General features: G+C 37.6%; 2 protein-coding genes across 30 annotated transcripts in view; one reads left to right on the top strand and one right to left on the bottom strand.

Annotated features, from left to right (window-relative positions):
- Positions 1-22,726, top strand: part of FAM13C (family with sequence similarity 13 member C) — a 117,053-nt gene extending 94,327 nt beyond the window's left edge. For 5 of the 24 annotated variants that reach the window (XM_006717702.4, NM_001143773.1, NM_001347847.1 and 2 more), the window contains 7 exon segments: positions 164-302; positions 4,689-4,770; positions 6,210-6,421; positions 14,412-14,507; positions 15,857-16,056; positions 17,179-17,280; positions 21,118-22,726. In XM_006717702.4, the coding sequence (XP_006717765.1) occupies positions 164-302; positions 4,689-4,770; positions 6,210-6,421; positions 14,412-14,507; positions 15,857-16,056; positions 17,179-17,280; positions 21,118-21,241 (955 nt within the window). In that variant the 3' untranslated portion in view covers positions 21,242-22,726. 24 annotated transcript variants of the gene reach the window in all.
- Positions 21,085-24,881, bottom strand: part of PHYHIPL (phytanoyl-CoA 2-hydroxylase interacting protein like) — a 74,174-nt gene continuing 70,377 nt past the window's right edge. For all 6 annotated transcript variants that reach the window (XM_017016783.3, XM_011540276.4, XM_011540275.4 and 3 more), the window contains one exon: positions 21,085-23,798. In XM_017016783.3, coding sequence (XP_016872272.1) covers positions 23,264-23,798 — 535 coding nt within the window. In that variant the 3' untranslated portion in view covers positions 21,085-23,263. The remainder of the gene's footprint in view (positions 23,799-24,881) is intronic.

Here is a 24,881-nt window from a genome sequence, read left to right as displayed (position 1 = left end):
GAGTCTCCATTAATGAGCAGATGCTACCATGGTGGCCTCATCAAATAATGAACTTCCCTCTGGACTTCTCTGACAATCCAGGAATTTTGGTTTGTAGATCAACAGAACTGTTTACTGGAAGCCCACTGTTTTTGATACTCCTTCCTCCTTGTAATCACTGCAGGCCGCGGAGTTCTTCACGCTGCAGCTGTGGAGATGGCAAGGAGCCACAGACCATCACCCAGCTCACCAAGCACATCCAGAGCCTCAAGCGGAAAATTCGGAAATTTGAAGAAAAATTTGAACAAGAAAAGAAATACCGGGTAAGAACCCTGGGGTTTGACATAGGAGCGGATTGGTCAGAGGTGTCTGGATTCTCCTCAGCCTCTGTCCTTCCTTTCTGGGTGCCCTTCTTTGCCAGGGGACAGCTCTGTTCCCATGGGCCAACCTGGACCTATCATAGAGTCTTCATCTTCTATCTGTCTTGTTCTCACCTGCTGTCAGTTGATCTCTGCTAGGATATTTTCTAGTAATGGATTACAACTATTATTTCCAAACTTATTTGATTATTGATCTCACCTTTTTTTTTCTGAGGAACAAAATTTGGAAAGCTTTGAATTATGGTCTTCTTCTTCTTCTTCTTCTTCTTTTTCTTTTTTCTTTTTTTTTCACTTTTTCTCAATTGCATTTTGATAAGAACTTATTAAAGATCCAAGGGAGGGGTCTCCAATTGTGGAACAGAATGAGGGAGAGATGGTTTCTTTGACATTAAAGTATTTCCTTGTTGGTGAATGAGGACCTCTCAAGTGACATCTGTTCAGGCCACTCATAAGAACCAACCCTAAGCCTTCCTTTCCCCATCAGAGAGACACTAGTTTTCATGCTAGTACTGCACTGCAGCAAACATGAGCCTCCTTTCTTCTTATGTAAGAAACAATAGGGTCATAGGTAAGTGTCTTGATGGTCAGTGTTGCTTTTATTTTCTCCAGTAGTGACCATGGCATACAGAAAAAGCATATCCACAGAGAACTGGACAAAGACATTGGGTCTTCGGCAGAGAGCTCAGAATAGCTTGTTATTAGAATAAAAGAGAACAGGGAATAATCTCTCATACATCTTGAAATATTTAAAGGTTCACTAAACACTTGGTACAGAGGCAATTGGAAAGTTCTTGTGAGTATGAGAGTAAGTACTGGGGAGGGAGGTGAGAATGGATAATATTCCACTCTTCCATTCTTCCTGTCCTGCTTCCCACAGTGGCCTGAAATTCACTGAAGGAGGAGTTTTAAGGAGCAGATTTTAGCTTTGCAAAAATGGGGGAAAAATCAGTTTGGCTTTCAAGGCAACTTTAGTCAGGATGTTGAAGATTGTCTTCCCCAAAGTCAGGCAGTCACAGCTATTTATTGTCTTTTACAGAGCAGAAGGGAGCTCAACACATTATTAGTCCAGGATTTTATTTTACAGATAATGAAACTGACACCTGATGGAAATGACTTGCCTAAGATAGTTGTGTTCTATCAGGTCGCAACTTGGGTCAGTGGATTACAGATGAGTAGGTTCTGCAATAGAATAGAAGTAAAATTTTTAAGTGTCTGCTTTTTAAAAGATCCAGATATCCTGGGAGAAGTTTATTTCACCTGTTTGCTGCTGGCGTGTTACTGGATCTATGATGTCCTCGTATTGGAAAATACAGAGTAACAACCAGGGGCTCCATTCCCAGCACCTGTTAACACTTCTTATCTGGCAGTTCTTGAGTCAGACTATTTTGGATTTGAATCCAGCACGGCTACTTAAGAACTCTGTGATTTTGGACTTGTTATCTTTCTGAGTCTCAGTTTGGTCATGTGTAAAATGGAGTATTAGGTAGCGACTTCTTAAGTTTGTAAGTAGTAAATAAGGAAGTACATACATAATGCTTATTACAGTGTTTGGTACAAAGGAAGTAAATGGTCCTAGATAACACAAACTTTTTAATCTATGAGTTATATATTTAAATAGGCTACTCCATGGCAGTCTCTGCCTTGTCAGAAAATAAAGGAAAATTGTACATGTTAATTCTCCACTGGAGTTTTCTACCCACAGCCACAGATCTTGGATGCTTATTTTGGAAGAGAATTCCTCCTGGAAACATCTTCTGCCTTTGTCTAGAGTTTTCTGAAGCTAGAGCTCACATGCACATGCACACACATGTACACACACACAAACATAGACTTAAATACACATATGGAAGGACAGATCAGGGAGCAGTAGGGGAAGGAAGCTCCTTGGTCACCGCTGCTTCAGTGTCTATAGAAGTCTTTGTTATTATCAGAACCTCACAGGTCTCAGGAAACGCTTTTCCTTCCTGTCAGCATGCCAGGCTGTGCTTAGAGGTTTGACATGTCAGTGGGCTTTAACTGGTTGCTGTGTGTAAGGCTCCCCTTCCTGACAGCCTGACTGTGGAATTCATACCACCCATTGCTAATTTTTGAATCTGGGCTCCTGCTGGGCCTCTGTGCTATTTTGATACCCATGTATCACGTATATCTTTCCATCTCTGTTTACTGTAACCATTTTATATACCTACCCCAAATTCTCTACATCTCTACATCTGATTTTGCATTTGATTATTGGACTCTTGGGCTAAGAAAAGGCTGCGTCAGCCACACGTCTACCTTCAGTGGAATCAGGGAATGTTAGAATTGGAAAGAATCAGTCTTTTGTCTTATCTGACAACTGAAGATGCTGAGGCCCAGAAAGGGGAAGTGAGTTTCCCAGAATCACACAGCAAAGAATAGTTCTAGCCAGAACAGCAACTGAGGTCTTTTTATAACCCTCCCAGTAATTTTTCTAATGTGTCTTTTTGAACCATCTTTGGCAGATCACAAATCTCATACAATGGCACTTAGGAGGTCAATTTTAATTGCATTGAACAAAATCTAAACCTATGTAATTTCCGTGTGTATGACGTTTGGGGTCTTTTGAATCAGAATATTTCACTTAAGAAGTTAAAAGTCTTGAAGATCTACAGCTTGTATATGAGAACTTTCCATGTGATTTGAGAGCTGCCATCCATGTGAGTTTGATTTAACCCTTTTAACAGCTTCTTCAAGGGTAGGGAAATAAATTCATTTCAGAAACTGATTTCAGGCTTTAAATTATTTTGTCAGAAATTTAGCCTTAAATTTCTTCTAAGTTCTATGCACCGTAGTAAAAACTTATTTCTTTTGCAGTCACTGGCTTAAGGCCTTAGGATTTTGTGTGTGTGTGTGTTTGTTTTTACCATATTTCAAAAGATGGAAATAACTGTGTGGAACAGATCCAGTGAAGCATTGTTCAACAAGGTGTGTTCTCAGATCGGAGTGGAGAATTCTCTAAGGATTTTGGGAAACCAAATGTAAAACATTGACTTTCCGTGTAACCAGACTGCTACCCAAACCAAAGTACTAGACGATACAGTGCATCATTCTAGCAAACCATAGATAGGACTAGGCTAAGCTGTTTTAGAGAGCTGGGGATTGATGGCCACGTGTCACTGTCCATGGTCCTGAAACCAGGATTCCCCCCCCCCCCCGCCAAAACCCCTTCCCTATCCCTCTGCCATCCCTCAGGGAAACCAGTCTGCTATTCAAGCTCTTCTAGGAAAGAAACATTGTCAATCTTCTTTTCTATTTTAATTTTAAAATGTATGGTTTTTAAATCACTTTAGAACTGACAGAATCATGCCTTGTGTTTTACAATGAGCATACCTAAACTCATGTACACGTGATGATCCTGTCACACAGTAGTTTTTTCCTTTGAGTTTTAAAAATCTGCCATCTTCCTGTGCCTCCCTCTCACCAACAACCTGCCATTGTTACATGGATTTAGTGGATCCTTAAAGAAAAAAAATGACAGAACCCCTAGATTTGGTCATTAACAATGCACATATTTCAGGCTATTATGTTTATGATCATGTCACCTTGAGCATATTTTATACTTCCTTGTACATCCTTAATTTAAAGTAACCATTAATTTTCTTCAGCCTGCATGTAAGTTCCTATGGTAGCCTTGACTTGTTTAAGATCAGTTTTTACTGATCTGTGGGGGTAGAGGGACAGTATGTTTGACTACCACTAGTGAAGATATTAGAAATCCGTGTATCCCCCTAACAAACTGACTTCTCGGGAATATTGTCAGGTTTTAGAGATTCCGGAGTCTCCTTTCTTTAGCTTAGAGGATATAACTGATAAGAGCTAAATCTTCCAGTTTTTCAGTATTCTCCCACGGGTTATGGTCATAAGCATGTGTGTGAGCCACAAGCAAGGTAGTAACCACTGGTTTGTATCAGTGCAGTCATCTGCAGTGCTACAGAAAATGGCCTGGCAATGGGGTATATATGGGCTGTGGGTGACCTGCAAGGTGATTGACAGTTTGACTGCAGGGGCACTGGCATGGCCAGGACTATGTGAAAAATGTTAGGTGACCAGGCACATTTAGAAATAGTGCCCATAGCAAGGATTAAAGAGTAGAGGAGGTCAAGAATATTTACTGTTTCCTAGAGGTAACTTCATCAGAAGCAACTCCATCAGAAATTTCACACCCGAATTTCTCTCCCAGCTTTATATATTCCTAAACTATCTTTGTGTAGCTCATCTGTTTAAAAATTTTGTTTTTCCTTTTCTCTTTTTCTCCCCCACCCTCTCCCTCCTTCCCTCCCTTCCACCCCCATTTTTTCCTTCCCTTGGTAGCCTTCACATGGTGACAAGACTTCTAATCCTGAAGTCCTGAAATGGATGAATGATTTGGCTAAAGGTCGTAAACAGCTCAAAGGTAAATCCCAGCCAAAGATCTTTTTTCCTCACAAAGGAAGCAGTTAAACTAGTGATAATGTGCTCCAGAGCATTTTAGATTCATTTCCACCTGTGCCCTCTTGCACCTTGTTTTCTGCTTAGACTGTAACTCCCTTTTGAAATAAAGCACCCTGTATCTCTGTCATTGTTTGGCCCCATGTAATAAACCTCCTTACAAAGAAACTGAGGACCTCCAGACTCCCAAGTGGAATGATTCACTTCAATGCCAGGAACATTTCAACATGTGGAGCACTAACCTCCCTAGGTTATTGGATTGTTGGATGTTAGAAACAGAAGAGGCCTGAGAAATCATTTACTCCACACACTTCAGTGCATGGATGAGGACATTTATGCTCATAGAGAGGGGAGGGTTACATAGCTGGAAGGTGGTGGGCCAGGTGTAGAATGTGGTTCTCCTGCCGTGTGGGCTAGTGTCCTTCTTTTTCTGTCTTTCTCTGGAGATGGTGGTGAGAGTATTAACTCTAAAATCCATTTAAAATAGACTATTATAATTTACCAATAAAAAATTATTTTCTTCCTCTCTCCACACTCTAACTTTAATACTTAGAGACATGGGAGTTTTTCCAAATTTCTGCAAGGAAAGTGACTAAAAAGAACTGGAAGGGAATACTAATTCAGTGGTATTAAACTGTAATGATGTGGCAGGTTTATAAAATATGCAATGTTTAAACATCAAGACAAAGTCTAACTAGGAAACAAACATCAAACAAAGAAAATGAGCTATGTAATTGAGAAATCAATATAAATGCCTCATTCAAACAACCAGTACCCTTGCATACTCTAAAATGTAATTCCTTGATAAGTCTCAGGGGGCTTTTTTATTTTTAATTATCTAGGTTTATATAAAGCCACCTTGTAATAATTCCTGGATCTTAAAAGCTATCATAAGACAAAATAGCAAAATCTGTCATGTTGAGGCTGACACTCCCATCTACCCTTTCCCATCCTCTCCTGTATTTCCTTGGGTGTCTACATGCATAATGTCTTCCAGAATTATTTGCGTTTCCACAGGAGCTCTTGATGAACCCACAACTCCATAATCTAAGTAAATAAATCTTTGTGTGTGGAATTTCGGGTGCTACAGTACATGGCAGGTGGGGCCAGGCACCACTGGTTTTCCTGCAAACTCTTCCTCCTCTGAAATCTAAACCACTGAGCTACTCCCACACATACCCTCCACCTCCATGAGATCCTAGCCTCTAGAGCCCTGTTTTCACACCCGATTGGGAGCTTATGCTAATGGCTCTGGTTATAAGGGTTGCCGTTGCCCTGTGGAAAGCCATCATTAGTGTTCATTTCTACAGATTTGGCATCAGGGGAAGGAATTCCTGAAAGTCTCTCCATTCTTAGAACTAGTGGGTTCTCTTTGCTTATGATAACTCATAGCATTTCTCTTAGAACTAAAGCTAAAGCTGTCAGAAGAACAAGGGAGTGCTCCCAAAGGTCCACCTAGAAACCTGTTGTGTGAGCAACCCACAGTCCCCAGAGAAAATGGGAAACCGGAAGCTGCGGGCCCGGAGCCAAGCTCCTCTGGAGAAGAGACTCCAGATGCTGCCTTGACATGCCTGAAGGAGAGAAGAGAGCAACTTCCTCCCCAGGAGGATTCTAAGGTACATCACCATGTCTTGTTATATAGAGGGCCCCTGTAGTCCACACAGTGCTAATGAGATCATCCAATTTGTCAGAGCACTTTGCCATTACATCAATATTTTTATTAGCCTGGCTCCAAAATTTCAGATGAGTTCCTGACAGGTTACTGGCCACGAGCAGTAGTGCCACATGATGCCAGGCTATGCCACCATTCTGGAGGTTATAGTGTTGTGTGTTGATAGGAAGTAAATGGCAAAGACACCAGGGTATATCATATCCCTTTCTCCCCAACTCTCTCCACCTGCAAATTAGCAAATGAACCCAAGACTAGGAAATAGGCATAGTGCCTAAAAGGAAAGGACTCCAATTACAGCCCCTTTCCTTATGTCTTATTAAAAATAATAAAGCAGGGATGATCTATAAACAGTAAGGAAATTTGTTTGGTGTTTATATAATAAGAATAGAGAGGTAGAGTTTTTTGGGAGAGTTAAGTTGAAATACAAGTCTTCAGCTTTGGATATCTTAGTTTTGAAGTCTCTGTGAGGCATCTAGATAGAGTTGTCAGGCATTTGAATATATGAGCCTGGAGCTCAAAGAAAAGATTTATTATATTTTACAAAGAAGAAAAGACTGATTAGTATTTACCTGGTTAATCTCTCCTTGTCATGCATATCTATGCTTCCATTTCAATTATGCCAAGGAAGCTTTCTTGTAGTCCCCTGTCTCAACCCTAAGACTGGCGTGATTGACTTTCAGTGCTCGAATAACAGATGCAACTACCCTATCACAGCTCTAACTATCTTGTAGGCCACTTTCTGTTTCTTGTACTACATCTTGAACTTCTTACATGGAAGCACTATTTATAGGTCATGACCTCCCCTTTTCTGCACATAGTAGGTATTGAATAAATGTTTGCTGAGTGAATGGAAAAATGAGCAGATGAATGAACAAACTAGCATATTTAATTTTCAAATGAAGTCTTCTTGAGGAGAATGCCTCCTTTCCCTGTTCTATTGTACATTACCTGGTATTAATCATAAAGTGACAACATATTCCAAATCTCAAAAGGCTCAACATATGCCCCTGGATTAGTCATTTACATAAGGACTTGTGATCTACAAGTAGAAATGGGCCTGTGACCACATCTTTCTTTATGAAATACCTTTAGCCTTAAAACAACAACAAATACATGTTGTGAGGAGTGAAGAGAAGGTTTCATCCACTCAGCCATCCTATCCCTAAGCCTACCAAGATTCTATACTTCTGTGACAGTCAGTGGGTAACTTCTGCATATATATACAGAAACTCTTAGGTATCTCTGTGGTTTTCCATCCTTCAATGCTTCTGAAGTTCTTTCCAGTATTTTAAAGTCACTTTGGCCACATCTATTAAAGCATCTTGGTCAACGTCTAAATCTCTGTTCTACTCAATTAACAAGGGTAGTAAGAAGAGCTGGGATTGATATAGTAGAGTTAGAACAGGATTCAGCACTTGAACCAGCCACTTTCTAACCATGGGCACTTGGCAAGTGAACTGATTCTCTGAGATTCAACTTCCTCATCTGTAAAATACAGGTAATACCTACTTATATAATTATCATGACAATAAGAGAGAAGCCTACTGACTGGTGGATAATAGTTCATTTGCAAAAAGATTTAAATGCCAACTATGTGTTGTGAAGTAGAATAGATGCTAGATATAAAAAATTAAAAGATATCGAAGCCATTGGGGGGTGGTCAATGCCCTCATGTAGTTCATGTTGTCCTGGGAGTGGGGATACAACAAGAAATAAACAACTCAATAAAAAGAAATCATTAAAAATGTTGATAAGTACTATGCAGGATATTTGACAGGTGATATGATAGAAAATATGGGTATAGTTTCTACTTTAGATAAAGGGATTAGGAAGGCCAAGAGGTGACATTTAAAGAAGAATCAGCAGGCCAAAGAGAGCAGCAGAAAACATTCTCAACAGATGGAATTGCAGGTATGAAGGCCGTGATGAAAGGAAGAGCTTGTTGTGCACTTTGAATTCTCAGGTTTGAGGGTTGGAGAACAGGATGGCATGAGATCAAGTCAGAAAGACAGATTAGAACCCATCACACAGAACCTTTAAAGCTGTGGGAAGTATTGGGAAGTTGTTGAACAGTTGAGAGCAGAAAAGTGACATGACGTGATTACATTTAACAGATCCGTCTGATTGCTAAGTGGAGGATACATCACAGGGGAAAAGAATGAAAAGGGGAGATGGAATGGGTGGCTTGGATTAGCACGGTGGCCTTGGAGAGGGAAAGAAGTGGATATATTCAAAGTATATTTTGAAGGTAGAATCAAAAGGACATGTTGAAGCATTAGATGGGAGGAAATGAAGGCAAAAAAAAAAATCCGGGATGGTGATGGGTCCATTTACTGATACAGAGAAAACTAGAGGAGCACACTGGGGTTGTAGATAAAAACATAAACGGTCAGTTTGGGATATATTACATTTAGTATCTTTCAGGAATAGGGTGACCAATCGTCCCAGTTTGCCCAAGACTTTTTTGCTTTTAGCACTGAAAATCCCATGTCCTGGGAAATGCCTCAGTCCTGGGCAAACTGGGATGGTTGGTCATCCTACTGAGGCATGTAAGTCAAATAGACACATGCAAATGAGAGTCGGAAGATCAGAGAAAAATCTCCTCATGCGTGGAAGTCACCCTGTATAAATGCCAATCATTTCTATTATTTTTAATGAAGTATCTATTATTTTGTTTAATAAGTGTCAGAAGCCCCCTCAAATATACCTATAATGTAGCTCTTCAGTAGGCTAAAGTTAGGCCCTTTAAACAGAGAGCATCTGTAATAGAAAATGTAAATACATAAAGCTGAGTATTGGTCTTGAGAAAGCTTAATATAGTAAACCATGTAGTAGCTAGTCAGCCACTACACTCAGTGTGAGTCCAGAGGCTACAACGTAACCAAAGAGAAAACTTTGTATTCCCATAGCAGCTAGTGTTATTTCTAACTCCTCAATGAGCTCAATAGCATTTCAGATCATCTCATTAGGTCCCGTTTCTTTAAACTCGAAGAGACATATGGCTTTCATCTGGGGTCCTTGCCTTACTGCTGAAAATGCATTAAATATTAAAATTTCAAGATAAAGAATGACGTCTTTTCTAGAGAGACTTTATTATGACTCTTTCTGTAATTTCCGCATTTGGTATTTAGTCACAGCCCATACTAAGGCTGATAAATCCTATAGCATTGCCTTGTTGCTTCAGATACTGTCAATGAGTAATTTTCTTCCTGTTTTATCTATGGATGATTTTTGGAGATAATCACTTCTGGGTTACAGGGCATGGCTGTACACTGGAAATTAATTAATCATCCCCTGAGCTGAACTGTAGTGCCTATTTATGTCTTTTATGTCCTTTTCTTTTGGAAATACTGAATTGGTGCTGGCACATATATCAATATTGACCTTTCTAAGGACTGTAAGTGGGGTCAGGTGCACAGCTCAAATTACCAAGGGGATGAGTAATGGCAGTTACTTCTTCTGGCCTCTCATCAACTGTAGCATCTTTGAGGATGAAATCAGATTTTTAGAAAGTATACATTTTATCTGGAAAAAATCAATAAAAAATTAATAACTTATAAGCAGGTTGTTGTTGGTTGGAAAGACAGTAGACTTAGAGATAAAGGGCATGAAAAGGAAGATCCCATCAAACTTTCTGCTTTCCTATTTATCCTTCTTTTTTTTAAAGAAATTATTGAATAGATAATACTTTCTCACATAGTTCAAAAAGAAAATATATAACAGAAAATGGTAAAAAGACTCCTTCCCAAACCAACTGCCATCTCCAGCTCTGAGGTCTCCCACCCCAAGCAGGTAACTATTGTTATTAATGTCTTATGTGTCTTTTTTGGAGTTTCTATGTAGAGCATATACAAGAAATTATCAATATACATTCCTTTTTATTTTAAATTTTTTAGAGACAGGGTGTCACTTTATCATTCAGGCTAGAGTGCAGTGGCACAATCATAGCTCACTGCAGCCATGAACTCCTGGGCTCAAGCAATCTCCCCACCTCGGCCTCTCAAGTAGCTGGGACTACAGGTGTGCACCACCATGCCTGGTTGAGTATTTTAATTTTTTGTAGAGGTGAGCTCTCACTTTTGCCCAGGCTGGTCTAGAATTCTTGGCCTTAAGGCATGCTCCCACCTCAGCCTCCCAAAGTGCTGGGATTACAGGAGTGAGCCACCATACCTGGCCCCAGTATATATTCTTAACTTGCCTCTGTTAGAGAAAAGGGAGCAGTCTATACAATTATGCATCCTTTTTACTTTGTATATTCTGGATATCTTTTTATATCAAGACATAGAGAGCTTATCATTCTCTTTTATTTTTAAAAAATTATTATTCAATAGCACTGTGGCATTCTTTTTTATTAATGGATAGCATTGACATTAACATCAAGTCAACTAGTTTGAAAGCTCAAATAACATTTGATGTGTGTGTTATTAATCCAGAAACATTTACTTATAAAATGTAATAAAAGTGATCCTCATTCTGCATATTAGGAAACTGAGGTTCAAATATTACATATTTGTAATGTTAAAAACAGTTTATAAGTTTTGAAGCTGGTTATCTGAACTCATGTCTTCTGGTTTCAAGACAAATATTAATCTTCAATTCCCGGCTTGAACATCTAAATTGACCAAAACATTCTCTTTAGCAATTGCTTTCTATGATAATATCCAGTACTGACTTTCCATCTTGTTTGATTGTTTAATTTAAATGGTCAGACTTGCCTGCATATAGTGTCTCCCTCAATAAGGGGATGGGGATACTTAGACAGGAAAATCTTGGCAGGACTTCAGTCCCTAAAGCTAAGAAGCATGTTTTCCATTGCTCACTGTCCAGAGAAGAGAATGTCAGTTTTACTTCTCTCCTTAAGAGACATCTCATTTATGGGGATAATTGGAATGATTTCATTTATAAATTTCTGTGGCTTACTGTGGAAGAATACATGGCACCACTCCCATGCGGGAAAGGAAAACAAGGTGGTAGAAGTGCTGAAGCTATGGCAGCTTTTTCCTAAACAACTTTCTGACCAGGACCCAGAAAGAAACTAATTTGGGCTGACCCCTCAGTAGCAGTTATGTCTCTTGGAAAGCCAGTTTATTTCCAGACCTTGATGATTCAAATCACCTACTTGATAGGGGGCCAGGAATTTTCATGTGGCAAAGTTGCCAAGCTATAAACAAATCATATCAAATTGTGTCCTATATATGGTCCTCTCTTGCTCAACCTCCTCTTAGTTATACCCCTGATACTATAAAAATGGAGAAACTGGAAGAATAATCATCTTTTAAAGTTTATCTCCTTTTATTTATCTTTATGACAATCCATTCATAGCTCTCTTTGGCTGTTTTAGGTTATTCAACGTGTAACCGAAAACATAAAGGAAACCTTGTTTCCTTCATTCATAAAACAAAAATGAAAAAATAGGTATATCTTGCATACTACAGCCAGCAGCAACTATAGAATTAGGGAGGAAGGAGGATGTACTTCAGAAAGAGAGAGCCATTGAATTCAGAAGAGAAAATTATCTGATTCTTAGCAGACAGTAGCTGAAGAATAACAGGAAAGTCTAATGTATTTCTGCCCCCTTAGATTTGGGGTATCCTGCAGAGCTTACCTTGATTCAGTTTTCTTTATGAAGATCACTTTGCAGGCCTATAGCTTTTCTGTGAGTAGAAAACAGCTCCTGGCACATAATCCCACTACTAACCTTCCTCAGGCAATCTGCTTTCCTGTCCTCTATCTGAGGATGAGCACTTGTAGACTTAGAGGTTTCACAGTGTTTTGTACTTACTATGCATGAGGGTATGGAACCCTCACGTTTCCTCAGGGATTGCTTTAATAATAATCTTAAGAGGAAGACAACGGAATCAAAGTGAAAAAGGAGTGCATACATTGTACTTGTTCCCGAATTTTTGTCTGGCATCTGTGGAAGATAGTTTTCTATAATGGCATTCATCATTCTAATGTGTGTTTTGGTCACTTTTTCCTTTTAGAATTAAATTTAGCTTTTCTAGAATCTGGGGAATACATTCAAATCACAAAAATCAAATTGCAATGGAGAGATACCAATAATAGTTAAATGCATCATTATCTGAAATACTTTCTATGAATTGTAAGTCCCAGTAAGATACTACATTTAAAAAACACTATTTCAATGTTTTCTGAACTTAGACTGAGATTTTTTTCTGCTGTCATCTATTAAAATCCCATGGAATAGATTTTGATAGGAACTTGTTGGGTTTTTTTTCATGGAAAGATGTAATAAGAAAGTGTTTAAAGAATGATTGGGTTAGAAAATGAAAAGATCTTGAGGTTATTTAAACAATACTTAACAGGCTTCTACAGAGGGAGGTGAGACTTAGGTCACAGCGTATGGAACTTAAAAGAAGATTGCTAAAAATTAGAGTCCTTTTTGCATATAAACCTGTGTTGATAGCTTAGTAGTAGGGATGGGGATGTATTGGGTACTGTGAGAATTTAAAGAAGTATGTGATATGATCTCTCTCCTCAAGAATCCTTTATTTGGGCAGACAATACTGAAACAAAGAAAACAGTTAAGGCCCAGATAATGAGATAAGTTGAGAGGAAAGGTAGATCAATATGGGCCAGAATGGTTTGCAATTGGGATGGGAGTTGGGAGCATGAGGATAACTGGGAAGTGTAACACATGTTTGAGACATTTTCTTTTCTTTCAAGGGAGACAGATCTGGATGGCAGATGTATCTGGCATGCTTGGGTGTGTGTACTTTGATAAAAGATGCCTGGGTGATTATTCCATGAGTTATTTCTACTATTCCCTTCCCACTACTTGCCAAGTGTATATCACTGGACTAGAGTAAAAGGGAGGTTATGTGTACTAGACATGCAGAAAATTAATGCAGAATACAAAGCAGGAAAAAACCAATGCAAGCAGAGGAGTTCGGTCACTTTGGATAAATAGGCAGATACATAGACAGACAAATAGATGGATAGATAGGAAGCTATTTAAACTTTTATGCACAGTGTGATCCATTGAAAATAGTGCTTAGGGATGGGTCTTACAGCAGAGGGGTATAGAATATATTAGTGGATCAAGAGGTTACACATTTTTTTCAGGGAAGGATATTGGTAACTCCAACCTCCTTCTTGTATAGGTAGGAAATTGAGGATTCAGAGAAGTTAAATGTTTTGTCCAAAATAATTTAGTTGATATCACAGCCTGTCAGTAACCTAGTATATAATACAAGCATGTAGTGATGAAGACCTGTATAAGGTTGGTATTTGTGACTACATATAATCAGGAAAGTCTAGATAAAATACATGTTTCAGAAGAAAAATCAATGTCTGGATTGGTTTTTTAAGAATGAAGAAGTAATTAAGGAAGAGGTTCCTTAACACTTACGCATTTCAGACTCCTCCAAAAATCACATTGCTAAACTTGGACGTATCCTTTAAGAAACTTCCAAGAAAAAAACTGGCATGTGCTACATACAGTATCTTATAAATGACTTTCTGGCCAGGCACGGTGGCTCACACCTGTAACTGGGGGCCGAGGCAGGCTGATCACTTGAGGTCAGGAGTTTGAAACCAACCTGGCCAACATGGTGAAACCCTGTATCTACTAAAAATACAAAATAATTAGCCAGGCATGGTGGTGCGTGCCTGTAGTCCCAGCTACTCAGGAGGCTGAGGCAAGAGAATCGCTTGAACCCAGGAGGTGGAGGTTGCAGTGAGCCAAGATCATGCCATTGCACTCCGCCTGGGTGACAGAGTGAGACTCTGTCTCTAAATAAATAAATAAATAAATAAATAAATAAATAAATAAATAAATGACTTTCCTTTTCATGATAACTGCTGCATTATAGTATTATAATCCTTTACTTTGAGGCTTTTTGTCTGCTAAAAATGTTGACGTTTTCATTCTTGTCTGAGAGAGGAATAATAATTAATTTCATGTTTTTCAGGTAACTAAGCAAGACAAGAACCTCATAAAGCCGCTTTATGACCGATACAGAATTATCAAGCAAATCTTGTCAACACCTTCCCTTATTCCAACAATTGTAAGTCAGGATACTTGCATGCTGTTACTTTGTACTGATGTGTAGTTAACAGGATGTCACATAGTAGTACAAGAGTTATAAAAGACCCTTCATGGCAGTATATACTGCAAACAAGGCTAGTTGTCATTTCAAAAAGTGAAAATTTGGTCTTCTCTAACCCCATTACTATATTTAACAGTGGCTGATATTAGAACTATTGTAAAATAGGAACATATAGCACTTGTATGTCTAGAGCCAATTTTAACATTTGCTTTCATTATCTTGGGTGAAAAGAAATGATAGATTTCAGTTTGGCATTTTCTAATTTGTAACACAGCTAGACAAAACAGAGCCTTTCTGTTCTGTGTGTTGGTTAATTTTTTCCTTTAATCAGAAAATTAACAATATATTCTTGATATAATGCAACATTTGTTTTTGGTACCATTTGACCATACTGTACAAGATATGAGAAGATTTATTTCAATAGAAAATATAAGTACTGAAATTGAATTAGGCTACTTTTAATAAAGAATGATTTATGGGAATACAGAACTAGAAAAGCATCACAAATCCTACTCCATCAATATCAAAACAGTTACTTGTTCAAGATATCAATATAAAAAGGAATAAATATTAACAAATATAAATTTAAGTATGCTTGGGTACATTTATACTTCCACTTTTTTTGAGACAAATTATACTTCCACATTTTTAAAGACATTAAGTGAATAATAATTCATAGTCTTTGGAATTTTCCCTTTATGGAAGCATAATTTAAAATGTAGTAAGGTTCTTATATTTCTTGCAAGAGAATCTTCTAGTTGTGATAAGAATTATCAGAACAGTTGAGGAGTAACCCCACTTTGCTTTGGCCTTCAAATAGCTCTCCCCTGAACTTGTCAATTTACTGAGTATCCTCTGTATCTGAATGTTGGTCCCCACTGGGACCTGACTTGGGGTATTTCTGGAGGATAAAAGTTGTCCGTAGTCCACCTTATCTTAACTCATATCACAAGTATTAAGCTGGAGCCCAGAAGGTCTGAGTGAAAGGGAGGAACCACTTGGTAGTATAGTCCAGACTGGACCATATCCTAATGGTCTGTGCCTTCATTGGCCCAGAAGACACAGATGAACTTGGTGAGTGTTTTAGCCCAGCATGACTGCTGCCTTTTTGCTCATTAACTTCTGTAGGTTTTTAATGAAACTGCGGAAGAGCTCCTCTTGGTTTCTTCCATCCCAGTTCTCAGTAGGCACATGGGTCACCTACTGGTTTTCATGGCATTGATTTATAGTTCCCCTTCCTGTTTTTGTTTCCTCAAGAGGCACTGAGCATTACATGACTTTCTTTCTTTAACTCTGCCTGTGATAAGCAGGAGGAAGAGGACTCTGATGAAGACCGTCCACAGGGAAGCCAACAACCTTCTTTGGCAGATCCAGCATCTCACCTTCCTGTTGGTGACCACCTCACCTACTCTAATGAGACTGAGCCTGTTAGGGCCCTTTTACCAGATGAAAAGAAAGAAGTAAAACCACCAGCTCTCTCCATGTCTAATTTACATGAGGCTACCATGTGAGTATGAATCCTAAGTGTGGAGTCTCCTCTTAACTCCTTCTGGTCTGATACCAGTATATGAAGTAGAGCTGGCCTTTGAAAATGCTGGACTCAAAGGGGTGGGTCAACAGTTCTCAGGGCCTTTATCCTAGTCTCTTACATTTAGATGAGATAGTTTTTCCACTAGAAATCCACTTGGTAGTAAGCAAATGACTTGCCCTTTGTCTCTTAAATAGCCCTTCAGATATAAGCCATTTGGATTTTCATTAATATTATCATTATCATTATTATTATCATTATTCAGTAGCTGGCATTCCTCATGATAATTTGGCCTTCTTTGGTTTGTATCTTACAGCCCAGATTATGAGATTTAATTTAATTTAATTTAAGTTGACAGAAGTGTCTGTCAGAGAAAGCAAGTAGAAAATCATTTTTTTGGTGGTGGTTCTAAAGCAGTTATTCCTAACTTTTCAAGGGGTGTTGGGACTTCTTTGAAACCAATAGAATCATTTTAAGAAAATGCCCATGTATAATTTCAAGTTCACAGAATCTCTGAAACCATACATGAGTTTGGGTATGCTTGTGTATATACCAGATTCCTGCTCTAGAGTATATGACTTTTCTCTCATCTTGGTAGAATGAAGTGAGTAGAATTTGCAATGTAACTATCGCTTTCTTCTGGGTCTTATTTTCATTCACAAGGGTTTTGCTATTCTCCCAATATTCCCACACTTATTTCTCTAGATTAAGAATAGAATTTTCTTTAAAAGCTGCTCCTCTGTATCTCTTATGTTCAGTCTATGACCAAATGCTGATGAGTATTCCTTCAAAATATCCCTTCCCTCATCCACCTATATTGCTGTTACCCTTTCCAGTTCCTTCAGTGGATTCAATCAATCTCCTTGCCTCTTGTCTGTCCTTTCCCCTATCCTGTGATATTTTTTCCATCAGGTAATTTTCCCTGCTTATGTGCTTGCCTATGGTCAGGCTCTATGTGTGTCATATTTACTCAAAAGATACTCTTATGATGGGAACACTTTTCAATCATAGATGCTTTTTTGGCTGAACAGATAAATCTGCTCATGATGATCTCTCAATTATGCCAGTGCCCAGTAATGACAAGTATTTTACCTTATATAGGCCTGTACTTCTTGACCATCTCCGAGAAACTAGGGCTGACAAGAAGAGACTGCGGAAAGCCTTAAGAGAATTTGAAGAACAGTTTTTTAAACAAACAGGAAGGTATGTGTCGGCAGAGAGATTTTTAAAGCTAATACTTCCTAGAGAATTGCTGTTAAAAATGAGCTGCAATTTTTTGCAGGAACGGTGACTTTTTACAAAATGTATATAATTTCCACACTGGCTTAGACTCAGGATTTGTCCAATGCAACATTCTAATAGTGCCAGTATTAGGGATGTTTCATGGGACATGGTAGCTGTCAGGTATGACATCAATCTGTAAAAAATAAAGGATAAACTCCAAAAATCTCTAACTTTGCACAATAAATCTCATCATAAATAAATGAATTTATTTAAACCTTTAAAAAAATCTGTTGATTTTTTTAGCCCACATAACTGCTTTGTTGTTGGTTTCTTAGTTCCACAAGTTACTCCCTAATTTATTAAATAATAATTCCTTATTTGCTTTAAATGTCTTCCTTAAAAGTCAGGATCTGTCCCTAATTATTTTATTTCAAGAGTCGATCAAAAATTCATAGTCATTCTTTCTACTTCTTAAATAAATGGTTAGCTGTATCATCTGTCCTCTATTTTTCTGTGTCAACCCAAGTCTCATTATACACTCTATTAGTTTCCTCCAATTTTTGGTGTATCATCAACAAAATTACATATATAATCAAGAGATAAGGTTATTGATCTAATTTGGAAGAGAGATAAATTGCTTAGCTATCTTGAACCTCAGTTCCCATTTTATGAGCTGAAATGGTTGGACTCCTGGGATACTTTGGGAAGCTACAGCTGTCATGTGGGATATCAATCTTTACAAAAATAAATAAATGAAGAGTGTAACTTTCCCAAAGCCACAAGTTATTAAGTAGATGAAATGAGATTAAACTCATTATTCAACTCATAAACTCATCATTAAACTCATCAGTGCTACATGGGCTCCTCTGTATTCCTCTCCATTTAGGTATTGTATTTGACTTTTCAGTTCAGCAGGTTGAGGGTTGTCCTGATGGAAAGGGACTATTTTCCAAAAGCACCTTGAAACTCTCATGCGTGGTCTACTTACCTCTTAGTCCCTGGCAGGTTTTCCATTTTAGCCTACCAGGGATATTCTTTAGGACTGGACCTATTGAGTGAAAAGCTTTTTGCATTCAGCCAATACAGATGTAACAACTTATTTTCTACTTACAATCTTCCTTTCCAGTTGATTGCTACAAGTCCAACTTACCTTTTTGGTGATGTTAAGTAATCTAGTGAGAAATGTTATGTGGCTCATAAATTTAGAATATAAAGCATTTGTTATTTTTTTCCTTTTCCATACTTTTTTCTTTTATAAAATGTTCATGTAACTTTCCTTGTAAAATATTCCTTGGAGTAGTAACTTTGTCTGTCTGGACTGTCTGCTCCTATTATACTTTGGGTAAATATGTGACTTGCACTATAAAGTTCCTGATCTCTGCCTCTTTTGGATTAAAGGTATTCTATGGGAATTTTTCATTCAGGGAAATATTTGTGGAGATGTTATCACATATTCTAAATCTAAACAGTCATTACATATGAGAAATGACACTTTAAGATGTGCGTACACTCTTTTCATAAATTTGAGTTCCCTGAATAAATTTATATTTTTTAGCAATTTGAACTCAGGAATCTATCGTAAGGGGTTTGAGAACTTCCCAGTGTGCTACTAGTCCTGCCTACTGGATCTGCAGTGTCACTTGGTGTGCTTTTTGTCATACATACAGGGAAGTTAGTTATGTTCTATGTATAGTGTTCCACTGCACCTATGAGTCTTAAACCCACTTCAGATAAGTCTGTATTTGTCTATGAAGTTTTATGCCCCCTTGTGATGATATATTTCAACTAAATGCACAAGTGATGATCTTTTACAACTAAAATCAAACAGTTGAATGGCTAGGAAATATGGACCTTAATTTTGTTTATCTAAGACATTTTATTGGGAAGGCCTAAGCATCCATAAGTTAAAATAACCATGCAAATGGATTACTAAAATGTTTAAGGCACTATAAATGTTCTTGGTAATATTTGCCATACAAGAGGCATGAGAATCATGCAGATATTACATTATTATTAATAATTATTAGCCTGGAAGTGTGCTAAGCACTTTAGTATGTTTTATATAATGGAGAAACTCCTTCAGGAAAGACTTGGCAAAACTTTTCATTCTTGTCAAAGCACTCTTTTTTTTTTTTTTTTTTTTTTCTTTTGAGACGGAGTCTCACTCTGTCACCTGGGCTGGAGTGCAGTGACGCGATCTCGGCTCACTGCAAGCTCCGCCTCCTGGGTTCACGCCATTCTCCTGCCTCAGCCTCCCAAGTAGCTGGGACTACAGGCGTACGCCACCACGCGTGGCTAAGTTTTTATATTTTTAGTAGAGACAGGGTTTCACCATGTTAGCCAGGATGGTCTCAATCTCCTGACCTTGTGATCCGCCCGCCTCGGCCTCTCAAAGTGCTGGGATTACAGGCGTGAGCCACTGTGCCCGGCCTCAAAGCACTCTTATTAGCCAAAATGGAATATGCAAAACTACGGAAAATTACATAATTGATTATTAATGTTTCTCTGTAATAATTAGACAATTTCTTTACTTAGATCTATTTATACAAATTAAGGTGGTATTCAGACATCCAGCCATGATAAGTTTGACTCATAACACAGAATGGAGGCAAAGATATATGTTATATAATTTAGACAACAGTTAAGAAGAATGCTGTCTATGGATTTGTATACTGTTCTGAGTTCTGTACTAGAAATTGCAGGGCAATAAATAGTGTTGAAATACAAGTAGATACTATATTCTTAATTTGTATAGATTAGCTTGTTTTTTATTTGGTAAGAGATAGAAATATCTCTTTATCACTACTGGGAAAAATAGAAGGGAGCTAAAGATAAAACATTAAATATATGCTATTTACCTGGTTTCAGCCATACTAACATTAGAGAATACTTGTGGTTATATTCAGTTGTAATTGTGGTGACTATATCTGTGTCCTCTACCCCTTGAATTTCAAAGTCGTGGGTGGAAATGTTTTCAAAACGATTGGCTATCTTATTAACCAAGAAAACAAGAGCCTTCTGAGACCCTGTCGCAATTTTTCCCTTTAGAAAACGTTTCCTGACAACATATTTTTGTGGGAAGGCAAATGGTTTTAACTCCTGATATTACCAAGTTATTCTTCCAAGTAAACAGCAAGAGTATGCTGCATATGTATAAAAATCTATGCATTGTTACATGTCTAGCCTTAGTAGAATTAGTGTACAGAAGAGAACCACCACAATTTAGACTCTTGTCAATTACTTCAATCAAGGAACAGCTCAGTGGTTCTACTATATATTAGCAGAGATAGGTATTATAATTACAAGAAAATCTGGAAACGTTTCAAGTTTGTAAGACAGACCCTAAATGCTTTTCTTGTTACCATAGGTTTATGTTATTTTTATAATGAAATTCCTGTAGTATTTTCAGGTTAATATTTTTAACAACTGTATTAGGGCTGATCATTTTGTACAGCTGTAGGGGTGTGGCAAATAATGGAAGAATGACTGGACAAAGAATGCCTTGAAAGTTCTGTTTCTTGTTTGTTTGCTTCTCCTTAGATCTTTTCACTGACCCCTTTGTTGTAAGTCTAAGCACTAGACCACATATTTGCAAAACACTTATGACATTCAAGTTTTCAAAGGTTACTATTATTTAGAAACTTAGTAACACATGGAAGAAGGAGTGAATGAAGGTGAAAGGGAAGGAAAAGAAGACATGATGCAAAAACCAAGTGGAGGCCGTTACAGTATACTTTCTCATGTATGAATTATAAAAGAATGTTTAAATAATGACTTGATTCATTGTGAACTAACAAATGTATTTTTGTTTTGCAGAAGTCCACAAAAGGAAGATAGGATACCAATGGCAGATGAGTATTATGAATATAAGCACATAAAAGCCAAACTGAGACTATTAGAGGTCCTCATCAGCAAGCAAGATGTGGCCAAAACTATTTGAGGTTCAGGAAATGTTATGATCACTTTCACCCATGATATAAAGTAAAGTTTATTTTCCTCTGCCATCCTTGCTAAGTAGTTTTGACACAATGAAAATGGAAGCACTTTAGTGGTAGTATTAGCTGTTTTTAAGAAGGAATAGCAAGTTTAATTATATACAAGGAGAAGGGATTTAAACGGGGGGAAGAATACAACAGGTAGCCATATAATTGGGAAAAAATTCAGTGTCCTCCATGCCAAGCAGAAAACTCATAGTCAATACAAGTATTTTTAAAAATGTCTAATATTTTATCAAATCTAAATAACATAGCTAGGACACTTGTTAGGGAAAGTTTATTTAGTATCCAAAGACTGTTTATGTTGATGTATGGAAAAGAGCATGATTTTAAAAAATCAATCATAGGAGGAAAAGAAATTCGCTTTTCAAGTAGGAAGGAATACAGCTAGCAAGAAAGCAATTTATTTGAAACTTCTAATGGATTTTTGAGTGATAAAACATTTACTACCTTGTCCTTTAAGTCTGCTAGGCTCTCAGTACCCTAAAATAAACTAGATTGTGTTGCTATTTTTTTCTTTCTCTATAAAAATAACACATTATTTTATCCGTTATTTGAAATTTTACATTTCTGGTTACCAAAGTTCATTCTGATAGCATGTACTTTGTGAATTATTATCTTTGTCTATAACTGACAGATGTTTATATTAAAATAAAATATTGTATTAAAAATTTAAAATAGGTATTTTGGATAGATATGTGTCTGTAGTATATAATCTAATGTGTCCATAGTATTATTGCTAATCTTTTGGTTTACTATAAGATGATATAACTATTTTTTCATTGGGAATATACATTTTTCTTAATGTTCCAACATCTATACTTTGTAAAGTCAAAACATTTCCCATGAGCTGTAGTTATTCATCCTTCTGTACAAAATGAAAAGTTTGGAAATTGTTTGCCCTGATACCTTGAAAAAGAAGCCAGAATATTTATTTGCTTCATCAACTTCAGTGTATATCATTTTGTGTTATTTTATACGAAAACATGTTTATTATTTTCATTTTTGTAAAAGGAAGTAAAAGGTCAACATTTTCTCTCATGTACCAACCTTGTTTGTATTTCTATTTTCTGTAATGTTTAAGTATGATGTTGAAGAAATTCACATTCTCTTATAGTTTGGATGGGAAGACTATTGACTATTTCAGAAACAGACTTATTTCAGAGGCTTATTGTTTTCTCTGTATTTACCTAATATTTTATAACTTTTATGAATCAGAATAATGTCCTTCATAAATTTGTTTAATTGAAGTCATCTACTTCTAACAGGACAGATACACAACTATTTGAGGTTTACAAATTACATCTTTGATAAGGGAAATGGTTTCGTGACATGTACACAGTTGCTATTAAAATGTAACTCTATATATTCTATATGATTGTAAATATTTTATACAACAATACAAATAAAATATTTTTCTATTATATTTATTATGTTGAAACACAGTAGTTGTTTCCTGTTAGCTAATATAAATAACATAAATAACACTGTCAAACAAGAAGTTGGAAGTGCTGACAATTCTAGGCTTCAAGATTTAACTCATGCTGCAATTACACCCTTTCATGCGGTTTGGAGTTATCCCAATATTTGTTCAGTAGATTAAAATGAATGCATATTTAAACACCATTTATAAGCCATTATTGTGTACTTTGCTAAAGCAGTCTATATAACTGTTTTGTTATGTTTGGCATAAAGGAAACATAAAAACATTGCAGCATCTAGGCAATAAAGTGTCAAAAGGAGAACTTAACTTAGGGTATTTCATCATTGAAAGTAGTGGGAGGGGTAGGGAATAGGAAAACACTAAAATGGTTCTGAATGAAATTTGGAAAGTGGTAGTTGTTTGTTTTGGTGACAGTGGCATGTGCATGCTTCAGTGGAAAACATCTGGTGATAAAAATGGACAACAGAGGACCAATGCTCCTAAGGGAGGAAAAGGGGCTGAGTAAGAATAAGAAAAGTGGGCATTAACGTCCAACACTGATATTACAGGTTTTGCAGCTGGGATCTTTCTTTGCATTTGCAGTAGACAAACTCATGAGCTGATGACCAGTGATTTCTGCCACGGTGCCCACAGAAAGATCCACAGGGTCAGTGTAAATGACTTCTAAAATGACATCCTGGGCATGGTGGTAAACCAGCACCCCATCTTCTTCTGTACAGGTCAAAAATTTATTATCCTTAGAATTTAGTTGAGGAAGGCGCTGCTTACAAAATTCATCTCCTGGTGATCCCACAGGAGCAATAACAAGAATCACATAATGATAAGCAGTGTACATACAGTAGAAGTCCCCAAAGTATAAGTTAGTATTGGGGTTAAAAAGTTTTTCTGCGGCAATCTCAAACCTGTATCTTCCATAAGGTGAATCCTGGGGTGGCTTTCCAGTATTGAATTCAGTGCTGCAGCTGAAGAAGATGCCTTCTAATTTTCCACTGATAGGAGAGCCATGGCTACCACTGTTATCCTTGACAGATGGCTGCATAGCATTCCCATGATGTTCTCTGCAAGAGAAAACAAGTGGTCACTGCTTAATACAATAGTGGTAAACCCACTGATTTATATATTTGAATGGCCTAAAAGTCAAACATCTACTGTTAAAGGCCTGAATACCTCTCTTACTATCAGAATAAGGGGACAACATCTTTTGACATATTACCTATAGATGGCTGTATTCTAGCTTTGACCTTAAGGTAAGGATGAGCTGCTACAAGCCTTGGAGACTTTGTATTAAATTAACATAATAATGTAAATTTCCTGGCCAGAAAAATCAAACTGGAATTAGAAACCTTACAGGTAAAATCACACATACATTAAGTGCCAACTGGGTTTCAGAAGTGGCTTTCTGAAGAGAAAACTGAACTAAAGGTATTGGTTAAATATATTGAATGTTTCTTTAAAGCATGATAGATTTAGTCATAAAATGAGTGCTGTCCATTTATACTGGCACAAAAGCGTTGTGTTTTGTTTTGGCTTTTTTTTTTTTTTTTTTTTTTTTGAGACAGAGTCTCACTCTGTTGCCAGGCTGGAGAGCAGTGGCACGATCTTGGCTCACTGCAACCTCTGCCTCCCAGGTTCAAGCAATTCTCCTGCCTCAGCCTTCAGAGTGGCTGGGACTACAGGCATATGCCACCATGCCCAGCTAATTTTTGTACTTTTACTACAGACGGGGTTTCACCACGTTGGCCAGGATGGTTTGATCTCTTGACCTTGTGATCCGCCCACCTCGGCCTCCCAAAGTGCTGGGATTACAGGCATGAGCCACCACGCTCAGCCCTTGTTTTGGCTTTTTAACCCAAGGACAGTAATCAGGTTATTTCTCTGGCATTTTGCTTAAAACAGTGCTAGTTATTCCCACTTTACCTCACCCCCAAATCCATTCATTCTCCACCACAGTCCTCCACTGTGACCTGGGACTCTAGCATTCAGTTCCTTATCCCTTGGCCACTTCCATTTCAGTTCTACCAATGTGAGGCACCAGCATATATAGAGTAGGAGGAGGTAAAGCTTTGGGTATGTCTTCCTGTATTTCCTCCACGCTTTAGGGCATTGTGGTTCTGGCAGGGCTGCATTCTTCATAACTATGT

Source organism: Homo sapiens, chromosome 10, assembly GCF_000001405.40.
Source record: "Homo sapiens chromosome 10, GRCh38.p14 Primary Assembly".
Lineage (NCBI taxonomy): Eukaryota > Metazoa > Chordata > Mammalia > Primates > Hominidae > Homo > Homo sapiens.
Note: the sequence above shows the minus strand (reverse complement) of the source record. Positions and strands in the feature narration are given on the sequence as shown.